Here is a 21,729-nt window from a genome sequence, read left to right on the forward strand (position 1 = left end):
CCTGTAGTCCCAGCTCCTCAGGTGGCTAAGGCAAGAGGATCAGGAGGTCAAGGCTGTGCAGTGAGCCTTGATTGCACCACTGTACTCCAGCCTGAGCAACAGAGCGAGACCCTGTCTTGAAAAAAACAAAACAAACAAAACAAGGCAGGAATGAAACAGAGTGATCCCCTGTACCCCTTTTACCCAGTTTTCCCCAGTGGTAACATGTTAAAAAACCATAATACTGTACAGTAGCACAGTAGCCATCCCCACCGCTCCCCACCTCCACTTATACACGGGATACATTCCAAGACTCCCAGTGGATGACTGAAACCACAGATAGTGTCAAACCCTAGGTATACTATGCTTTTTCCTATACATAACCTCTGATAAAGTTTAATTTGTAAATTAGTAAAGGATTAACAACAGTAATCATAAAAGTTATAAAATTTACTGTAATAAAAGTTATGTGAATGTGGTCTCTCTCACTTTCTGTGTCTTTCAAAGTACTTTAATATCAGACTGAGGTTGACCGCAGGTAACTGAAACTGCAGAAAGCAAAACTGCAAATAAGGGGGAACTACCTTTTCACAGCTGGCGTGTTTGCATTGATGCAATCAAGATACAGAACATTTATCGTTTCAAGAATGTTTTATTAATGGAATTATAATATATATAACCTTTTGCTATGGTTCTTGTTTGTTCATTTGATTGAGATGGAGTCTTGCTCTGTTACCCAGGCTGGAGTGCAGTGGCATGATCTCGGCTCACTGCAACCTCCACCTCCCAGGTTCAAGCAGTTCTCCCATCTCAGCCTCCTGAGTAGCTGGGATTACAGGCGCATGCCACCAGGCCCAGCTAATTTTTTTATTTTTAGTAGAGATGGGGTTTCACCATAGTGGTCAGGCTGCTCTTGAACTCCTGACCTTAGGGGATCCACCCGCCTTGGCCTCCAAAGTGCTGGGATTGCAGGCTTCAGCCACTGCTCCTGGCCTTGGTATGTTTTGTTTTTTGTTTTTTTTCACTCCACATAATTCTCTGGAGATTCATCCAGGTTGTTGTATGTGTCAGTAGTTGTACCTTTTTACTGCTGAGTGATATTCCATGGTCTGGATGTACCTCAGTTTCTTTAACCATTTACCTATTGAAGGACATTTGTGTCCTTTCCAGTTTGGGACTATTATGAATAAAGCTGCTAAATGTGTAGGTTTTCAGAAGTCTCTGTCTAAACATAAGCTTTCATTTCTCTAGGATAAATGCCCATATGTACAATCGCTGGGTGTTATGATAGTTGCATATTTTAGTATTCTAAGAAACTGGTTTTTCTGTATCCTCACCTAAATTTGCAGTTGTCACTGTTTTTTATTTTAGCAGTTCTGATAGGTGTACAGTGATAACTCATTGTGGTTTTAATATGCATTTCCCTAATAGCAAATGGAGTTGAGCTTTTTCCCATGGTTTCTTTGGCATCTGTGCATGTTCTTGGGTGAAATGTCTGTTCATGTCTTTTGCATATTTTCTAAGGGGATTTTTTTTTAAACTTGAGTGTTCCTTGTATTATATTGTACAGATACTAGTTCCATGGATGGAACCATATGGCTTGCAAATATATTCCCCCATTGTGTAGCTTGTTATTTCATTCCTTAACAGGGTCAAATAAATTTTAACGCAAATTGCACTACATTTGAACTTCAAAATAAAGTAGAATTACCTATTCAGTGAGTTTTTAATTTTTTATTTTTATTTATTTATTTATTTTTGAGACGGAGTCTCACTCTTTTGCCCAGGCTGGAGTGCAGTGGAGTGATTTCGGCTCACTGCAAGCTCCGCCTCCTGGGTTCACGCCATTCTCCTGCTTTAGCCTCCCGAGTAGCTGGGACTACAGGCGCCTGCCATCACGCCCGGCTAATTTTTTTGTATTTTTAGTAGAGATGGGGTTTCACCATGTTAGCCAGGATGGTCTCGATCTCCTGACCTCGTGATCCGCCCGCCTCGGCCTCCCAAAGTGCTGGGATTACAGGCATGAACCACCGTGCCCAGCCTCAGTGAGTTTTTAAAACACTAAAGTTTACACAGCTCTCTACTTAGGTTGTAGTGAGTGATGGATGACGTAGACACACTGAGAGAATGAGGTTCCATGTATTTTGTTATTTTTTAAATATGTAGTTCTTGATCCATTGTATTACTTATTACTAGTTTTTATTTAGATTTTGGGAAATGAAGACTGTACCTAATGAATGAAATTATTTCATAATAATTTTCTAAATAATGGACACATAACCATTTGGTTCTCTTTAATATTTTTGCTTTTAACCTAAGGTCTCAGATGATGATAAAGAAAAGGGAGAGGGAGCTCTTCCAACTGGGAAATCCAAAAAGAAAAAAAAGAAAAAGAAGAAGCAAGGTGAAGATAACTCTACTGCACAGGTAAAATGTCAGAACAACAAGCATTCATTAAGCGCCTCCGGCTTAAAATGTGAAAAGATTATGTACAGATGTTAAAAATACATAGAGATAAAAGACAGTATGAGACATCATTTATTTGAAAAATCATAGACTGTTTTACATATTCAATACATTATATTGTAATAAAAATGTTATTGCTCAAAAAATTCGTGTTAAAGGTGTTGCTAAACTCAAAAATAAGTAAAATTCCAAATTATTCATGCATTTTTTTATTATATAATGGTGAAATGGGAAAAGAGATACAGTATTTTACACATACAAAAATTCCTTTTGAGTAACTGGAAGGTAACATTTAGCACACATAGAAAAACCATGTGTATAACAAGTGGAGTCTTTCACTTGACTTTGAGTTTGCTGGTTATTTCACTTAGAAGTATCCTTTCCTGCTTTTTTGGCATCTACCCAACAGACATTTTCTCTTTCCATCACTCATACATTTCCTTTTCTTTCTTTTTCTTTGCTCTCCTGTCTGGGGGAAAAAAAGTAAATTATAATAAAAATGAAGTCAGAGTTGAAATTTTAAGCTGGGCACAATGGCTCATGCCTGTAATCCCAGCACATTGGAAGGCTAAGGCAGGAGGATCACTTCAGTCCAGGAGCTTGAGACCAGCCTGGGCAACATGGCAAAACCCTGTCTCTACAAAAATTAGCTAGGCACGGTGGCATACGCTTGTAGCCCCAGCTACTGGGGAAGCTGAGGTGAGAGGATCACTTGAGCCCGGGAGGCAGAACTTGCAGTGAGCCAAAAATCACACTACTGTACTCCAGCCTGGGTCACAGAGTAAGAACCTGTCTCAAAAAAAAAAAAAAGATATTTTAATTTCAGATGTATCAGATTATTAGAAACATGCATAGGTTTTTTTAAAGCACTAATACTGTTACATTACAACTTCTTAAAATATTTGTATTCCTTACTATAACTATGTAATTAATTGTTTAAATGTAGGAGACAGGGAACCGCAATTTCTAGGGTTAGCCCACATAGTAATTTTTCCTACTTATTGTTCTATTTGTTTATCTTTTTTTTTTTTATTTGAGACAGAGTCTTGTTCTGTTGCCCAGGCTGGAGTGCAGTAGTGCGATCTCAGCTCATTGCAGCCTCTGCCTCCCAGGTTCAAGCGATTCTCCTGCCTCAGCTTCCCAAGTAGCTAGGATTACAGGCATGTGCCACCACGCCTGGCTAATTTTTGTATTTTAGTAGAGACAGGCTTTCGCCATGTTAGCCAGGCTGGTCTCAAGTGATGTGGTCTCAAGTGAGCGGCCCAACTCAGCCTCCCAAAGTGCTGGGATTACAGGCGTGAACCACCACGCCCAGCCTTATTTATTTATTTATTTTTGAGACAGAGTCTCACTCTGTCACCCCGGCTGGAGTGCAGTGGCATAGTCTCACCTCACTGTAACCTGCCTCTCCCAGGTTCAAGTGATTCTCCTGCCTGAGCCTTCCAAGTAGCTGGGATTACAGGCATGAGCCACCACACCCAGCTAATTTTTGCATTTTTAGTAGAGAGGGGATTTCACCATGTTGGCCAGGCTGGTCTCAAGTGATCTGGCCTCGAGTGATCTTCCTGCCTCAGCCTCCCAAAGTGCTGGGATTACAGGTGTGAGCCACCACGCCCAGCCACTTACTGTTTTTGAAAGAAGTTTCTACATGGCTTTTTAAGGAAATATGTATTCAGTTATTTTTTATTGTGGGAAGCACAAACCCTCATAAATGATACAAGCTTATTATCAATACTTGCTTGCTTTTTCAGTAGTCAAAATGAATGGGCATTAAGGTTGTAACATAGCTAAGATCAGTGGATATGAACAAACTAACACTCTATAATAGGTATGCTTTTCTTGTTAGCTGGAGCTGGTAGATGAGAAATGTTACATCTATCCTTTGTTAGTAATACTACCTGAAAACCATTTTAGCCAAGTTTTTCTTGAATTTCTTTGACTTTGAGTATTTACTAATAATGATTTAGTGGATTGTGGATTAGTGGAGCTCCTTTTAAAATAAATTTTGTAGGATAGATGTATTCTGAAATGTTTAACGTATTGGCAAAGGTCATTAACATGTGACTGTTTCTTTGGCATTCTGATTATCCTTTTAAAAATGTTCACTGTGTTTTTAAAAATATAATGAATAAGTATTCTAGGTTTAGAGTCAGATCTATATTCTGAATCTTGTTCTGTCATTTTTTTTTTTTACCTTGCACAAGTTACATAATTGCATAGGTTGTTTTGAGAATTTGATATCCATGAAGTTCTATGCTGAGTACATAGCACATATATCCTATTAATAAAAGGTTATGGCTGGGCGCGGTGGCTCACGCCTATAATCCCAGCACTTTGGGAGGCCACGGCGGGTGGATCACCTGAGGTCGGGAGTTCGAGACCAACCTGACCAACATGGAGAAACCCTGTCTCTACTAAAAATACAGCATTAACCGGGCATGGTTGCATGCACCTGTAATCCCAGCTACTCGGGAGGCTGAGGTAGGAGAATCACTTGAACCCGGGAGGCGGAGGTTGCGGTGAGCCAAGATCATGCCATTGCACTCCAGCCTGGGCAACAAGAGTGAAACTCCATCTTAAAAGAAAGAAAAAAAAAGTTAGGCCGGGTGCGGTGGCTCATGCCTGTAATCCCAGCACCTGTGAGGCCGAGGCGGGTGGATCACAAGGTCAGGAGTTTGAGACCATCCTGGCCAACATGGTGAAACCCCGTCTCTACTGAAAATACAAAAATTAGCCGCACGTGGTAGCTGGCGCCTGTAGTCCCAGCTACTTGTGAAGTTGAGGCAGGAGAATCGCAGGTTGCAGTGAGCCAAGATTGTGCCACTACACTCCAGCCTGGACAACAGAGTGAGACTGTCTCAAAAAAAAAAATTATATTGTTTTTTCTCTTTTTGTTTTGTTTTGTTTGTTTGTTTTTTGAGACATTCCACTCTGTGGTCAGGCTGGAATGCAGTGGCTCCATCACAGCTCACTGCAGCCTCAACCTCCTGGGCTGAAGGGATCCTCCTGCTTCAGCCTCCCAAGTAACTAGGACTACAGTTTTTTTATTTTTTTGTAGAGACAGAGTTTCCCTATGTTACCCAGGCTATCCCAAACTCCTGGGCTCAAACAGTCCTCCTGCCTTGGCTCCCAAAGTGCTGGGATTACAGATGCAAGCTACCGCACCAAACCCAAAGTCCTTTTTGGTGTTCGTGTGTGGCTGATGGGGTCTTTCACTGTTGAGTTCAACTTGGGATGGAAATAAATTGATGTCTTCTGACTTTGTAAGATTGCAAAACTTTGAAAAACTTTGTAAGATTACAGACTTCACCCACATACTTCCAAAGCTACCTGCTCAGCCTAAATATATAGAAAATTTTGACTATCTAAACCCACTACTATACTGAATAACTATCATAAAATAGAACATCAGTGTCAGAAGAACATTAAGATCATCTTAGCCATTTGTTAAAAAGAACGGCCATTTTATATGGATGCATTTGCCAAAGAAAAATACAGTAATCCTTCTATTTAATATATTCTAGTTCATGTTTACTTTACATATAATTTACTAAGCATATAATGTGCTCTAGAATTATTTTGCTGAAACTTCATAAAAGTTTGAAAGTCTAAGAATGGAAATCTTGCTGCCCTGATGTCCTGTGGTGTTTGGCATGTGCCCTCCTGTCTCCTGACTAATCAGAGTGGCATGAGGCCCACGCCACCCAAACCTTTCACTTTCCAAAGAGCTAGCCATCCTCCACCCTGTACCATGGTGTCCTAGCCTGTCTGCGTTTGTTAGTGGTGATATTCTTTATGTATAATAAATTTTTATCCCCCCCCCCCCAAAAATGGAAATCTTAAAGCTTATGTGAGTTTTTAGAAATTATTAGGGCAAATTTTACTTTACAGTTGAGGAAACAGGCTTAGGGAAACTAAGTGACTTGTCCCTGAGATTGTTTGTTTGTTTGTTTGTTTTTGAGACAAGGTCTCACTCTGTCACCCAGGCTGGAGTGCAGTGGCACGATCTTGGCTCACTGCAACCTTCATCTCCCAGGTTCAAGCAACTATCATGTATCAGCCTCCCAAGTAGCTGGGATTACAGATGTGTACCACCATTACCAGATAATTTTTGTATTTTTAGTAGAAACAGGGTTTCACCATGTTGGCCAGACTGGTCTTGAACTCCTGACCTCAAGTGATCCACCCACCTCAGCCTCCCAAAGTGCTGGGATTACAGGCATGAGCCACAGCACCCGGCCTAATTTTTGTATTTTTAGTAGAGATAGGGTTTCACCATGTTGCCCAGGCTGGAGTGCAGTGGCGAGATCTGCAACCTCCGCCTTCCAGGTTCAAGTAATTGTCATGCCTCAGCCTCCCAAATAGCTGGGATTACAGGCGTGCGCCACCACACCCAGCTAATTTTTGTATTTTTATTACAGACAGCGTTTCACCATGTTGGCCAGGCTGGTCTCGAACTCCTGACCTCAGGTGATCTGCCTGCCTCAGCCTCCCAAAGTGCTGGGATTACAGGCGTGAGCCACTGCCAAATCTATCCCTGAGATTTTGTAGCTAGACTGTGGCATGGCCAAAATTGGAATTTTCTGTCTATACCCTTTCTACTATGTAAGCTTAATTTATCTAGAAAATTAACTTATGTATAAACATTTTATTCCTTGAAGTTGTTAAGTGAAGTGTTTTTTGTGGGTTTTTTTTTGTTTTTGTTTTTGTTTTTTTTGTTTTTTTTTTGTGAGACAGAGTTTTCCTCTGTTGCCCAGGCTGGAGTGCAATGGTGCGATCTCGGCTCACTGCAACCTTCACCTCCCAGGCTCAAGCAATTCTCATACCTCCTCCTGAGTAGCTGGGATTAAAGGCATGCACCACCATGCCTGGCTAATTTTTGTAGTTTTGTAGTTTTGGGTTTTTTTTTTTTCTTTGAGACAGAATCACCCAGCCTGGAGTACAGTGGTGTGATCACAGTCTACTGCAGCCTCCATCTCTCAGGCTCAAGTAGTCCTCCCTGCTCAGCCTCCTGAGTAACTGGGACTACATGTATACACCACCACATGTGACTAATTTTTGTATTTTTGTAGAGACAGGGTTTCACCATGTTGCCCAGGCTGGTCTCAAATTCCTGAGCTCAAGCAATTCACCCACCTCCGCCTCCCAGAGTGCTGGGATTACAGCCATACACCACCATAGATTTTAATTAATGAAGAATGAATGCTTTATATAATCTAATAGGTTATTTTTCTCTATAGGACACAGAAGAATTAGAAAAAGAGATTAGAGAAGACCTTCCAGTGAATACCTCTAAAACCCGTCCAAAACAGGAAAAAGCTTTTTCCTTGAAGACCATAAGCACTAGTGATCCAGCCGAAGTACTCGTCAAAAATAGCCAGGTAATTTTTAAGAATAATAAAGTTGCCGGGCGCAGTGGCTTACGCCTGTAATCCCAGCACTTTGAGAGGCCAAGGTGGGCAGGTCATGAGGTCAGGAGTTCAAGAGCAGCCTGGCCAACATAGTGAAACCCCGTCTCTACTAAAAATACAAAAATTAGCCGGGCACGGTGATGGGAGCCTGTAACCCCAGCTACTTAGGAGGCTGAGGCAGGAGAATCGCTTGAACCTGAGAGGCGGAGGGTGCAGTGAGCCGAGATCACTCCACTGCACTCCGGCCTAGGCAAGAGAGCAAGACACTGTCTCAAAAAAAAAAAAAAAAAAAAGAATAATAAAGTTTTGTTGACTCAAGTATTTTATCATAAATAATGTTTTAAGCACTGTGCTAAGCATTTAAAATATAATGACTAATTTAGTCTTCAAAACAATCCCGAGAGAAAGGTGAGACGCATTTTATAAATGAAGCTAGAGAAGTTGAATAACTTGCCCAGAGTCATATAACTATCAGTAGTGAAATCAAGAACCACACTGTACTGTATTTTCTCCTGCTAAATATCTAGGCATACAAGGGATAGACAGCTTAGACATAGAGAAAATATGAGTGGTTTCATTTTCCCCCAATATATGTACATAATATGACTATGGTTCAGCCTCCCAAAATGGAACATTTGTTTAAAACTTGGTTATAGGCTCTTGAATGATGTGCCTTCTATGGAAAGTATCTGTATGGCAGAAGGGACCATTTTACAAAAGGCCTAGGTTGGTGACACAAAATCTGATTTCTAATTGGGTAAATTAATTACATCATATAAATTCAGGGCTGGGTGTGGTGGCTCACGCCTGTAATCCCAGCACTTTGGGAGGCCAAGGTGGGTGGATCACAAGGTCAGGAGTTCGAGACCAGCCTGGCCAAGATGGTGAAACCCTGTCTCTACTAAAAATACAAAAATTGGCCAGGTGTGGTGGCAGGCACCTGTAATCCCAGCTACCCAAGAGGCTGAGGCAGGAGAATCACTTGAACCCAGGAGGCAGAGGTTGCAGTGAGCCAAGATCACGCCACTGCACTCCAGCCTGGGCAACAAAGTGAGACTCCATCTCATAAATAAGCAACCAGGTGCAGTGGCTCAGACCTGTAATCCCAACACTTTGGGAGGCCAAGGCAGGAGGATCACTTGAGTCCAGGAGTTTGAGACCAGCCTGGGCAACATGGCTAGACTCAGTATTTACAAAAAGCACAAAAATTAGCTGGGTGTAGTGGTGTGTGCTTGTAGTCCCAGCTACTCGGGAGACTGAGTGGGAAGATCACTTGAGCCCAGGAGGTCGAGGCTGCAGTGAGCTGTAATTGCGCCACTGCACTCCAGCCTGGGCGACAAAGTGAGACTTTGTGAAGAAGAATATATATATATTTATTTATTTATTTATGTGTGTGTGTATAATAAATAGCAAAGGGTCTATTTGACTTTTTTTTTTTTTTTTTGAGACAAGAGTCTTGCTCTATTGCCCAGGCTGGAGTGCAGTGACGCAATCCGCAATCTCGGCTCGCTGCAACCTCTACCTCCTGGGTTCAGGCGATTTTCCTGCCTCAGCCTCCCAAGTAGCTGGGATTACAGGTGCACGCCACCACCCCTGGCTAATTTTTATATTTTTAGTAGAGATGGGGTTTCACCTTGTTGGCCAGGCTAGTCTCGAACTCCTGACCTCAAGTGATCCGCCTGCCTCAGCCTCCCAAAGTACTGGGATTACAGGCACGAGCCACCACGCCCGGCCTCTGTTTGATATTTTTATATTAAATCATTTTCAGAAGCCATCTTATGAAGAAGATTTGATCCGTTCTGTGACTTAATGTAGATAAGTGAGAGAACAAAGGGGAAAAGGAGATTAAAAATAAGTAACAATAAAACTTCTGGATATGAAATAAATACAGGGAACACTAAGAAAGGTAAAGAAACTAGGCAACATAAATACAACCTCAGGGCCAGCCATGGTGGCTCACGCCTGTAATCCCAGCACTTTGGGAGGTTGAGATGGGTAGATCACTTGAGCTCAGGAGTTCAAGACCAGCTGGGCAGAATGATGAAACCCCCGTCTCTACCAAAAATACAAAAAAGTAACTGGATGTGGTGGTGTGCACCTGTGGTCCCAGGTACTTGGGGGACTGAGGTGGGAGGATCATGTGAGCCCAGGAGGCAGAGGTTGCAGTGAATGAAGATCACACCACTACACTCCAGCCTGGGTGACAGAGTGAGACCCTGTCACACACACACACACAAATACAACTTCAGATACCTGGAATAGGAAGAAGGAATCCTAGTAATTACTTGGGCTCACACCATTTCCTCTTGTATCCTTATCCCATTTTGCTTTCTCGAATCTATGGGCCCTGGAAGAATAGGGGCAAGAGAAGCATTACTTACCCTTCTTTCTATGTTCAGGATAATGATCACAGATAGAGCTAATAGGTGAAATGATCTACTCATCTCTCACAACCCGAAGGCACTCCAAATTACTGACGTTCTTATCATTACCAGGTCCTGATCATTTATTAATGGATATGCTTCAGTGAGGCAAATCAGTTAGTTTACCTCCTTTCTGCTTCCAGGCTGTAGAGAAGTAAGGCTCAAGAATCTAGGCTCTGCCTTAAGCATTCCAATTTCACTACCAGACTGGATAAAACACTGAAAATTTGTACCTGAGTGTTACCAGTTGCTTGAGTCAGTAGGACTGGTAACCACAGTGTGCTTGTAGGAAACAGAAGCTGTTGCTGCTGCTATTTGAGAAATTCTTACCTGTTGGGAAGGAGATTAGGAGTTGTCATCTACTGGTAGTTCAGAAGTTAGCTATTTTCCTTCTGTTTTTCACAAAAATTTTTGAAGCGTTCTGAGTTGGTGGAAATGGACAACAACCAATGAATCACTAACAAGTATAAAATCAGCCAGTCTCAGTGGTTCACGCCTATAATCCCAGCTACTCAGGAGGTTGAAGTGGGAGGATTGCTTGAGCCCAGGAGGTCAAGGCTGCAGTGAGCTGTTTTGTGCCTCTGCACTCTAGGCTAGGCCATAGAGCGATACTCTGTCTCAAAAAAGAAAAGCATAAAATCATCTTATTTATATGAAACTTAAGAATATAAAAGTTAGGCCGGGCGTGGTTGCTCATGCCTGTAATCCCAGCACTTTGGGAGGCTGAGGCAGGCGGATCACGAAGTCAAGAGATCGAGACCATCCTGGCTAACACAGTGAAACCTTGTCTCTACTAAAAACACAAAAAAAATAGCTGGGCGTGGTGGCACACGCCTGTAGTCCCAGCTACTCAGGAGGCTGAGGCAGGAGAATCGTTTGAACCCGGGAGGCGGAGGTTGCAGTGAGCCAAGATTGTGCCACTGCACTCCATCCTGGGCAACAGAGTGAGACTCCACCTCAAAAAAAAGTTAATGAAAAATTATTCATTTCTATTTGAAATTCAGTAGACATTTTATAATTTCATACCTTCATTTTTATCTCAACATATATTCATAAATGTTGTAGGTGATGATTGATTTGGCTGTATCACTAGAGGGCAGGTATGAGTTACATTGTTTATCTGGAAACCATATTAGTATTGAATTGCTGCTAAACCACCTCTTGGTATTACTGTGATATTTAAACTTTATTTGAAAATTTCACCAAAAAACCTGAGATGATTTTTTCCTAAAATAGCCTATCAAGACTCTTCCACCTGCTACTTCTACCGAGCCATCTGTAATCTTATCAAAAAGTGATTCTGACAAGAGCTCTTCCCAAGTGCCGCCAATACTACAAGAGACAGATAAATCCAAGTCAAATACCAAGCAAAATAGTGTGCCTCCTTCACAGAGTAAGTAATCCTCATTTTTTGTTCCTTTGTACTGTTTACATTTTTCATGTGTTAAGGTTCTGATCTTAAAAGTCTAATGGAGGCCAGGCGCAGTGGCTCACGCCTGTAATCCCAGCACTTTGGGAGGCCGAGGCGGGCAGATCACGAGGTCAGGACATCAAGACCATCCTGGCTAACATGGTGAAACCCCGTCTCTACTAAAAATACAAAAAATTAGCCAGGTGTGGCGGCGGGTGCCTGTAGTCCCAGCTACTCGGGAGGCTGAGGCAGGAGAATGGCGTGAACCCGGGAGGCAGAGCTTGCAGTGAGCCAAAATCGTGCCACTGCACTCCAGCCTGGGCAACAGAGCGAGACTCCGTCTCAAAAAAAAAAACGTCTAATGGATTAATAAGAGTAGCCCTTTCTTCCTTTGAAAATGCTAAATTCTGCCGGGTGCGGTGGCTCACGCCTGTAATCCCAGCACTTTGAGAGGCTGAGGCGGGCGGATCACTAGGTCAGGAGATCGAGACCATCCTGGCTAACATGGTGAAACCCCGTCTCTACTAAAAATACAACAGATTAGCCGGGCGTGGTGGCAGGCACCTGTAGTCCCAGCTACTCGGGAGGCTGAGGCAGGAGAATGGCGTGAACCCGGGAGGCGGAGCTTGCAGTGAGCCGAGATCATGCCACTGCACTCCAACCTGGGCGACAGAGCAAGACTCTGTCTCAAAAAAAAAAGAGAAAATGCTAAATTTTTTGGACGTTTGTCTACTTAAGTTGTGAAGGCCAAGTTGTTAAAATAACTAAAGGAGGCTGGGTGCCGTGCCTCACACCTGTAATCCGAGCACTTTGGGAGGCTGAGGCGGGTGGATCACTTGAAGTCAGAAGTTCAAGACCAGCGTGGCCAACATGGCGAAACCCCGTCTCTACTAAAAATACAAAAATTAGCTGGGTGTGCTGGCCGAACATCTGTAATCGCAGCTACTCGGGAGGCTGAGGCAGGAGAATCGCTTGAACGCGGGAGGCGGAGGTTGTAGTGAGCCAAGATTGCGCCATTGCACTCCAGCCTGGGTGACAGAGCAAGACTCAATAAATAAATGATCAATCTATCTATCTATCTCTGAAGGAGAGAATACATTGCTGAGAACAGAGAGGGAGAACTTTCATGCCTGCCTGCTTGTCTATGTGGTCCCTCTCCCTTTTTCTCTGCACATGTTCTTGAGGCTACAAATTATTCTATGCTTTTTTTCCTCCTTTACTCTCTTCAGCTACCTTTAGTATCCATTTTACCCATTTTTCTCTTTTATTAGTTAGGTTGAGCCATATTAAATAACAGTTTTTTTGGGTCAAAACTGGTTGAATATCAGCAGTTCCATATAGTTCAACCTAATAATACCATTGAAAGGAAAGGAGGGAAGAAGACATAGAATAACTTAAAATATATAACGAGGGCTTGAAAACTTAAACATAAAATTTGAGTATTTTAAAACATTGTTTCATAGTTACTACTTTTATATTATTGAGACGTAACAGTATTTACCATCCTCCTAATTTTTTTCTTCGTTTTCCCCCTTTTCTTTTTTAGCCAAGTCTGAAACTAGCTGGGAATCTCCCAAACAAATAAAAAAGAAGAAAAAAGCCAGACGAGAAACGTGAAATTTTTTTTCCTGAATTGGACATGTGTTTGCAAACACTTGTCTTGAAGATTATGCTGTTTATGCAATAATTTGTGAACATGTACAGAGTTTTATATAAATTTAAACCAATTTTTAAAACAAAACTGCGGACACCACCATAAAAATGGAATCAAAAGAAAGTTAATTTATGAAATTAAGAGGTCAGCAGAATATACTCAGTGATGGAAGACACTTGGGAAAGTCTTTTTAATAGAACAAGAACGATCTTAATTTAAGAATATTATCCTGGTTTAACAACAGTGCCCTGTTTACAACAGATTGTGCCCTATCTCATCTGCAGCCGAGGAATAAAGGATTCTGATTAGAAAGAGGGTTGCCTACAGATTAGTAAGCAATTCCTTGGATCTTATGCACAGAACTTGTACCATTTGAATCTGTTTTATGCTTAAATCAAAGTGCTTTGATCAAATGCATAACCTGCCATATCTTTACATATTTGTTGGTAGCAATTTGTATTAAAGAAATCACAAGTGCAAATAAAAAGTCATTTATCATTTGTTTAACTAAACTGTCATGGTTTAGTTTACAATTTTTAAAAAGTTCTTAAAATACTGAAAATGCAGTTGACACTTGTGTATGGCTTATGAAGTTATTTTTGATAGTCTTACATTACTTGAATTGTTCAAAGTACAGTATATTTTAAATTAAGAAAAGTGAACTATATGTATTTGTTTTATACATTTAAGGCTTAGACTCATAAATAATGCTATTGTTTATGATTTGAAAACTTTCAGGCAAAATCCAATTTACATTTTTCCCTTCCCTAGCAATTACTTTTTTCCAGCTTCAACTCTTCTTAGTTACTAATACTTTGTTGACTTTAAAAATGAAATCATTCACAAACTTTTGGTATATGATGGAGAATGAAAAACTAGAGTCAGACAGCTTTAATTGACATTGTCAACACCTCCAGTTATCAGGAATACATTTTTTTACTGCCTTAACCTGTAGTGCGTAGAATATGCATCAATTTCTTGAAGGAGATTCATGTTTTTATAAGAATTTTCATGTAATTATTGCAATTGTGGTCAAATAAGGAACGTTTCCTGCTTGAAATTATATTGATTTAAATGATGTGTGAGATGTTTCACCATTTTCAGGCACTGTGTAATTCTATTGTAATAAACTGGCAGGTATCTTTGTAACTATAAATAGTGCATGCTCAGCCATGTACACTGTAAATAGCCTTTACCAAACGTGTTTGACAAGGACCATAATTAACATCACTTAGTGAATTGTGATAAAGAAAAAAAAGCCATGATTTATTCGATGTGATTGGCTTGTTTTTATGTGGCGCCAAGAACGAACCTGTTTAACAGCTGTAACCAATGGTACTGATCTATCCATCCAATGTTGTCATTATATTTGACTGTGGTTCAACAGTATTGCGTTGTCAGACTAGGAAAGCTAAACGAACAAAATGGTTTTAGTTTTGCTGAAGACTGGCCTTATTAATGGACAGCTTTCCTAACAAGAGATTATTAACTTTTATCAGGTGTTAACATCTGTTTCAGGAACATGGCAGTATGTTTACATGTCAGAAGTTTTGTTTAATTCTATGGTATTTCTAAATTGACTTGTTTAAATAAATTCAGCAAATGGATAGCATTGTTTTTTATTTGCTTCAATATGGGGGTAGATAATAGCTAAAGAGCCAAGGATGAATTTCTTCAAATGACTTTATTCTGTTAGCTTTACATAGGTGTTGGAGGATTCCTAAGGTGTCAGCATTTTGTAAAGGTACCACAAAGGAGAAGTTGATAGGGAATCTAATTTTAGAATGTGCCAAATGGTCTGTGCTCAACAATATAATTGAACTCTCTCAACTCTACCTCACCATTTCTTTATCTCAAAATTCTGTTGGCTTTGTCAAACGTTGGATTTTATTTCTGCAGCCTAGTATCTCCCCATTCTACCACCTATGCCAGATGTTAAAGACAGCAGATGTTTTGAGGAGAATGGCATTGTGGAGATGCAGAGATGCGTTGCTAAGTTGAGGTGGATCCAGTATAGAGATACCTCTATTTCTTCTTTATGGCTCAAGAGCTAGGACTTGGATTTTGTTTTAAGAGATGGCAGCTGGCCGGGTGCAGTGGCTCACGTCTGTAATCCCAGCACTTTGGGAGGCCGAGGCAGGTGGATCACGAGGTCAGGAGTTCAAGACCAGCCTGGCCAAGAGGGTGAAACCCCATCTTTACTAAAAATACAAAAAAAAAAATTAGCTGGGTGTGGTGGTGGGCTCCTGTAATCCCAGCTACTCAGGAGGCTAAGGCAGAGAATCATTTGAACCCAGGAGACGGAGTTTGCAAAGCCAAGATCGTGCCACTGCACTCCAGCCTGGGCAACAGAAGGAGACTCCGTCTCAAAAAAAAAAAAAAGATGGCAGCTATATAAATGATAAAATTAATTACATTCTCTTTCACATGCATGAGGTGCAAACTCTGTCACAAAGTATTTTAATTACCTTTTACCTTGTTTCATAGATCTTTATGTGACATAAAAACAGTTTCTGGCACGGTGGCTCACGCCTGTAATCCTAGCACTTTGGGAGGCTGAGGCAGGTGGATCACCTGAGGTCAGGAGTTTGAGACCAGCCTGGCCAATATGGTGAAACCCCATCTCTACAAAATTTGCAAAAAGTAGATGGGTGTGGTAGTGGGCGCCTGTAATCCCAGCTACTCAGGAGGTTGAGGCAGAGAATCGCTTGAACCCGGGGGGTGGAGGTTGCAGTGAGCTGAGATCGCACCACTGCACTCCAGCATGAAAGAGCGAGACTCAATCTCAAAAAAAAAAAAGTTTCTGGCACCTGAACAGGAACTGGTTTCCATCATCAACTCAGAAAGCACTAAAATCTAGGTGGTGATTCAGGGAGGAGCAGGGGAAGACAGCCTCCTATGGTGGCATGAATAAGATGCTTCCAGAACTAGTAGGGAAATAACTAACCTCTTCAGGCTTTATCAGGCCTGGAGGGGAACCTTGCTCATGTTAGCAAGAAAGGTATCCTAGAGAAGCCACTCAAAAGGCTCCCTAATCCAGCCTGTCTCCACATACATACTGAAAATTCTTCCCTACTCTGAGGCAGGGTGTAGTGGTTTAGGGGTTTCTCCAGACTGGAATCCTACCTATCTGTACCGACAATTGAGCAAACAACAGTTGAGAGAGTCCAAAAAAAAAAGTATTAAAATGTGATTGATGTAATTTACCATGTTTACTTTATGCATGCATTTTATTGGGGAGGGGAGGTCAGAATAATTCACCCAAATCTAGTGGTCTTATTTCATAGGCTAATCTGGTTTATATTTGCATTAAAGATACTGGAGGGCAATATTTACAGAGTTTAGTTTTTCTTAATTAAAAACAGTCCTCTATTAATATAGTGTGAAATATCTTTCAAAATTTAGAGTTTAGGTTTAAGATGTCTACTAGATATCTTTAAGATTTTCCTGTAAACTCACTGCACAAACTGGAATTACTTTCCAAAAGACTTAGGGAATGCAAATATGTTACTCATAAGATGCATTGAGTATTGTAAATAAAACAAACCATTTTTGATTTGTTTAAATTGCTCGTTACAGTTCTCTTGTGGGGAGGGACTTTGTCAGTCATTTTGCATCTTAAGCTAGACTAAACTTTTTGTTGTTGTTTTCCTAAAACCATAGGTGCAAGCTTTGCCGCTGGGAAGTCATATTGAATTAAGCACTTTTGAAAATGTCACTGTTTGTGACACACAATGTTCTCTACAGAAAACTTCTTCTATCTTATGTCATTTTAGCAGTAGATGTAGCTGCCTGCCACCAGGTGCAATATGTCATTTGCATCAGCCTTTTCAGTTAAGGAAATTAAAACTTGGCATGCATTAGTTCATATGTATGAGGTTGGCTGTGTCCCCAAACAGCAATTGCTTGTACAAGATAGAAGTTTGCTTCTCAGCTGGGCATGGTGGCTCATGCCTGTAATCCAAGCTCTTTGGGAGGCCAACGCGGGAGGATTGTTTGAGCCCAGGAGTTTGAAACCATCCTGAGCAATAGAGAGACCCCCATCTCGACAAAAAAAAAAAAAAAAAATTAGAAACAAAAAAAAGATTGTTTCTCTTTCATATTAAAGTTTGGGAAGGCAATCCAGAGCCCATATGACATTATGCAGGGTCAGGGATCCGGGTTCTTTCTATATTGTTCCTCCCCATTCTCAACCTGTAGCTTTTTTTTTTTTTCTTTTAATGAGATAGGGTCTCACTCTGTTGCCCAGGCTGGAGTGCAGTGGCACACTTCTGGCTCACTTCAGCCTGGAACTCCCGGGCTCGAGCTATATTCTCCCACTTTAGCCTCAGCCTCCAGAGTACCTGGGACTACAGGTACACACCACCATGCCTGGCTAAATTTTTTTTTTTTTTTTTTGGTAGAGATGAGGTCATTGCTATGTTGCCCAGGCTGGCCTTGAAGTCCAGGGCTTAAGTGATCCTCCTGCCTTGGCCTCCCAAAGTGCTGGTGTTACAGGTGTGAGCCACCACACCTGGCCAACATGTGGCTTTCAGTTCTTACTTGAAGACAGCTGCTCTAGCTAGAAACTTCCTATCGGCATCTGAGCCAGCTGGTAGAGGGCATTACCTCCCCCACCCCCAAGAACACTTCTTGGAAGTTACACACAATACATAAACTTCAATTTCAAACAGTTGCTTGGTCCCACTAGCCATGAAGCTGGATGGGACGTAATATTCTATCTGGGTTGTCATGGGCCAAATTAACATTTTGAGATTCTGTTAGGAAGATGAGAATTGGATAATGGGCACCTCTAACAGTGTCTGTCAGAGTTGACATACATTGTGTATCTCCTGCACCAAAGCATTTTTGAGATCAAGTGTTCTTCCAGCTGAGCAGAAATTTGGAAGGCTATTCAGTGCTGCTTAGTGTAGCAGCTAATAATGTTCCAACTTCTATATGATAGTTTGCTTTTTGTTTTTTGTTTTTTTCTAGAGACAGAGTCTCGTTGCCCAGGCTGGTCTCCAATTCCTGGGTTCAAGCAATCCTCCTGACTCAGCCTCCTAAATGCTGGGATTACAGGCATGAACCACTGTGCCCAGTCTATATATAATAGATTTTAGAAGAAATTTCTGCCACTCAGTGACTGCTTTAAATTCTAGAGACAGAGGCTGAGAGAAACTTAGTAGCCTGCCTGCGCATACTGCAAGTACAGACTATATAACAAGTTGAAAGAGAATCACCCTGGTATATAATATTTTAAAACATGAAAAAGGCATTACTATTGTTCTGGTCTAAGTACTCTAACAGGACGATGATTTCTAACCCTAGCATCATGACATGTATATAGTGTGTTGTAAGACATTTGCCAGCTAATAGTTACAGTACTGAAGCTTGTGAATACGTTAATTGAGAAAACTTTAAGCAGGTTCAAAGTTATCCCATGATAGTGGCATTCTTATTTGTATATATGTGCTTTCCTTTTTTATTTGTATCAAGGCATTTAAAATGAATATATGTAACATGTACCTAAGTTTTAAAAGCATAATAAAATGAACACATCTGAAACCACCATTCTGCTCAAGAAATATAACATTACTCAAGAAATACAGTGTTACAAGGGGATACTGGGAACCAGCTTGACTTGTAACAGGATTAGAGGGGGAAAGGCTTGGGTGAAAATGACTGTTCTCAAGTGCCTCACCTGGCACAGGCCCTTTTTGGTACCAACTGAGGCTTGCAGTCCCAGGAAACATCTAGCCTGATCTCAGAAAGGTTTAATGGCAACTTCATTGCCACTCCTCCCTCAAGACATTTCATGATACCTTGGGAAATTGTTTTAATAAGTACACAGGGGCACAATGACTATGAATGTGAATGGTGCCCCAATTTGTATAGTGCACAACTCTACATGGCAGCCTTTCCCTGAGGAAGGGGGATAGATCACAAGATAGATGTCACTTCTAGACAGCTTTGCCCCACTCAGAAAAGCAGCAAGTGCCCTATAGGCACTTAGAGTGAGGGTTCCTCTGAGGTTTGTTGTGGGGCTGGAGACTCTTGACAGACACCAAAGGAGGTCTTATGGCAAACAGCTATTAGTAACGGGATAGTGAGATTACCAGAATTTTTTTTTTTTTTTTTTTTTTTTTGAGACGAAGTGTCGCTCTGTTGCTCAGGTGCTCAGGCTGGAGTGCAGTGACACGATCTCGGTTCACTGCAACCTCTGTCTCCCAGGTTCAAGTGACTCTCCTGCCTCAGCCTCCCGAGTAGCTGGGGTTACAGGTGCACGCCACCAGGCTTGGCTAATTTTTTGTATTTTTAGTAGAGACGGGGTTTCGCCATGTTGGCCAGTCTGGTCTCAAACTCCTGACCTCAAGTAATCCGGGTGCCTCTGCCTCCCAAAGCGTTGAGATTACAGGCATGAGCCACTGGGTCTGGCCCATTTTTTTTTTTAACAGACAGGAGCTTCCTCTGTCTACCAGGCTGGAGTGCAGTGGCACAATCACGGCTCACTGCAGCCTCAAACTCCTGGGCTCAAGCAATCCTCCTGCCTCAGCCTCCTGAGTAGCTGGGACTACAAGCACCCACCATCACACCTGGATAATCCTATCTTTTATAGAGACAGGGTCTTGCTTTGTTGCCCAGGCCGGTCCCAAACTTCTGGGCTCAAGCAATCCGCCCACCTCAGCCTCAAACTGCTGAGATTAACAGGCATAAGCCACTGTGCGCAGCCTGAATTTTTTAAAAACACCTCAAAGATCATGAAAATAAATAATTTAGGCCAGGAGCGGTGGCTCACACCTGCAATCCTAGCACTTTGGGAGATCAAGGCAGGAGGATCACCTGAGGTCAGGAGTTCAAGACCAGCCTGGCCAACATGGTGTAACTCCATCTCTACTAAAATACAAAAATTAGCTGGGCATGGTGGTGGGTGCCTGTAATCCCAGCTACTCGGGAGGCTGAGACGGGAGAATCGTTTGAACCTGGGAGACAGTGGTTGCAGTGAGCCAAGATGGTGCCACTGCACTCCAGCCTGGGTGGCTGAGCGAGACTTCGTCTCAAAAATAAATAAACAATCTGAGAAAGATCAAGTAAGGAAAAAATAGTGGGCAGTGGTGGGAAGGAGCAGAGGGCTAGACTTAGGAATAAAATAGTGGAATAAAATATAAAACAGCTTGCCTCAGTAAGTATTCTTTGTTCTAAAACCCAGAATCTGCTCTGGCAAGTTCAAGCTGAAAAGGAATCTAGCAGGACCAGAGATCCAGGCCCTTTCACCATCAAGAATAACACCTAAGACCAGGTGCGGTGACTCACTCCTGTAATCCCAGCACTTTGGGAGGCCGAGGCAGGTGGATCACCTGAGGTCAGGATTTCGAGACCAGCCTGGCCGACATGGCGAAACCCCATCTCTACTAAAAATATGAAAATTAGCCAGGTGTCTGGCATATGCCTGTTATCCCAGCTACTCAGGAGCTGAAGCGGGAGAATCACTTGAACCCAGGAGGTGGAGGTCGCAGTGAGCCGAGATCACGCCACTGCACTCCAGCCTGGGCGACAGAGCGAGACTCTGTCTCAAAAAGAAAAAAAAGGAAAGAAAAGATGGGGCCGGGCGCGGTGGCTTACGCCTGTAATCCCAGCACTTTGGGAGGCCGAGGCAGGCAAATCACGAGGTCAGGAGTTCGAGACCAGCCTGGCCAACATGAAACTACCCCTCTACTAAAAATACAAAAAATTAGCTGGGCATAGTGGCAGGCGCCTGTAACCCCAGCTACTCGGGAGGCTGAGGCAGGAGAATCGCTTGAACCTGGGAGGCAGAGGTTGCAGTGAGCCTAAATCTCACCATTACACTCCAGCCTGGGCAACAGAGTGAGACTCTACCTCAAAAAAAAAAAAAAAAAAAAAGAAAAGAAAAGAAAAGAAAAAGAAAAAATGGGCCAGGTGCGGTAGCTCACGCCTGTAATCACAGCACTTTGGGAGGCCAAGGCAGCCAGATCACGAGGTCGGCAGTTTGAGACCAGCCTGGGCAACATGCAAAACCCTGTCTCTACAAAAAATAAAAACATTAGCCAGACGTGGTGGGGTGTGCCTGCAGTCCCAGCCACTCAGGAGGCTGAGGCACGAGAATCACTTGAACCCAGGAGGCGGAGGTTGCGGTGAGCCGAGATCACGCCACTGCATTCCAGCCTGGGTGACAGAGCAAGACTGTCTCAAAAAAAAAAAAAAAAAAGGAAAAGAAAAGATGGCCATATTTAACTGTATACAATTTTTTAATTATTATTATTATTATTTGAGAAGAAGTCTCGCTCTGTCGCCCAGGTTGCAGTGCAGTGGCGCAACCTCGGCTCACTGCAACTTCCACCTCCTGGGTTCAAGGGATTCTCCTGCCTCAGCCTCCTGAGTAGCTGA

General features: G+C 42.2%; 1 protein-coding gene across 10 annotated transcripts in view; it reads left to right on the forward strand.

Annotated features, from left to right (window-relative positions):
• MTDH (metadherin) overlaps positions 1-18,897 on the forward strand; it is an 86,077-nt gene extending 67,180 nt beyond the window's left edge. For 6 of the 10 annotated variants that reach the window (NM_001363137.1, NM_178812.4, NM_001363138.1 and 3 more), the window contains 4 exons: positions 2,299-2,406; positions 7,686-7,826; positions 11,516-11,672; positions 13,237-18,897. In NM_001363137.1, coding sequence (NP_001350066.1) covers positions 2,299-2,406; positions 7,686-7,826; positions 11,516-11,672; positions 13,237-13,307 — 477 coding nt within the window. In that variant the 3' untranslated portion in view covers positions 13,308-18,897. The remainder of the gene's footprint in view (positions 1-2,298; positions 2,407-7,685; positions 7,827-11,515; positions 11,673-13,236) is intronic. The other 4 variants (XM_011517369.4, XM_011517370.4, XM_017013968.3 and 1 more) reach the window with 1 other exon arrangement.
• The last annotated feature ends 2,832 nt before the right edge of the window (positions 18,898-21,729 follow it).

This window comes from Homo sapiens, chromosome 8, assembly GCF_000001405.40.
Source record: "Homo sapiens chromosome 8, GRCh38.p14 Primary Assembly".
NCBI classification, from domain to species: domain Eukaryota; kingdom Metazoa; phylum Chordata; class Mammalia; order Primates; family Hominidae; genus Homo; species Homo sapiens.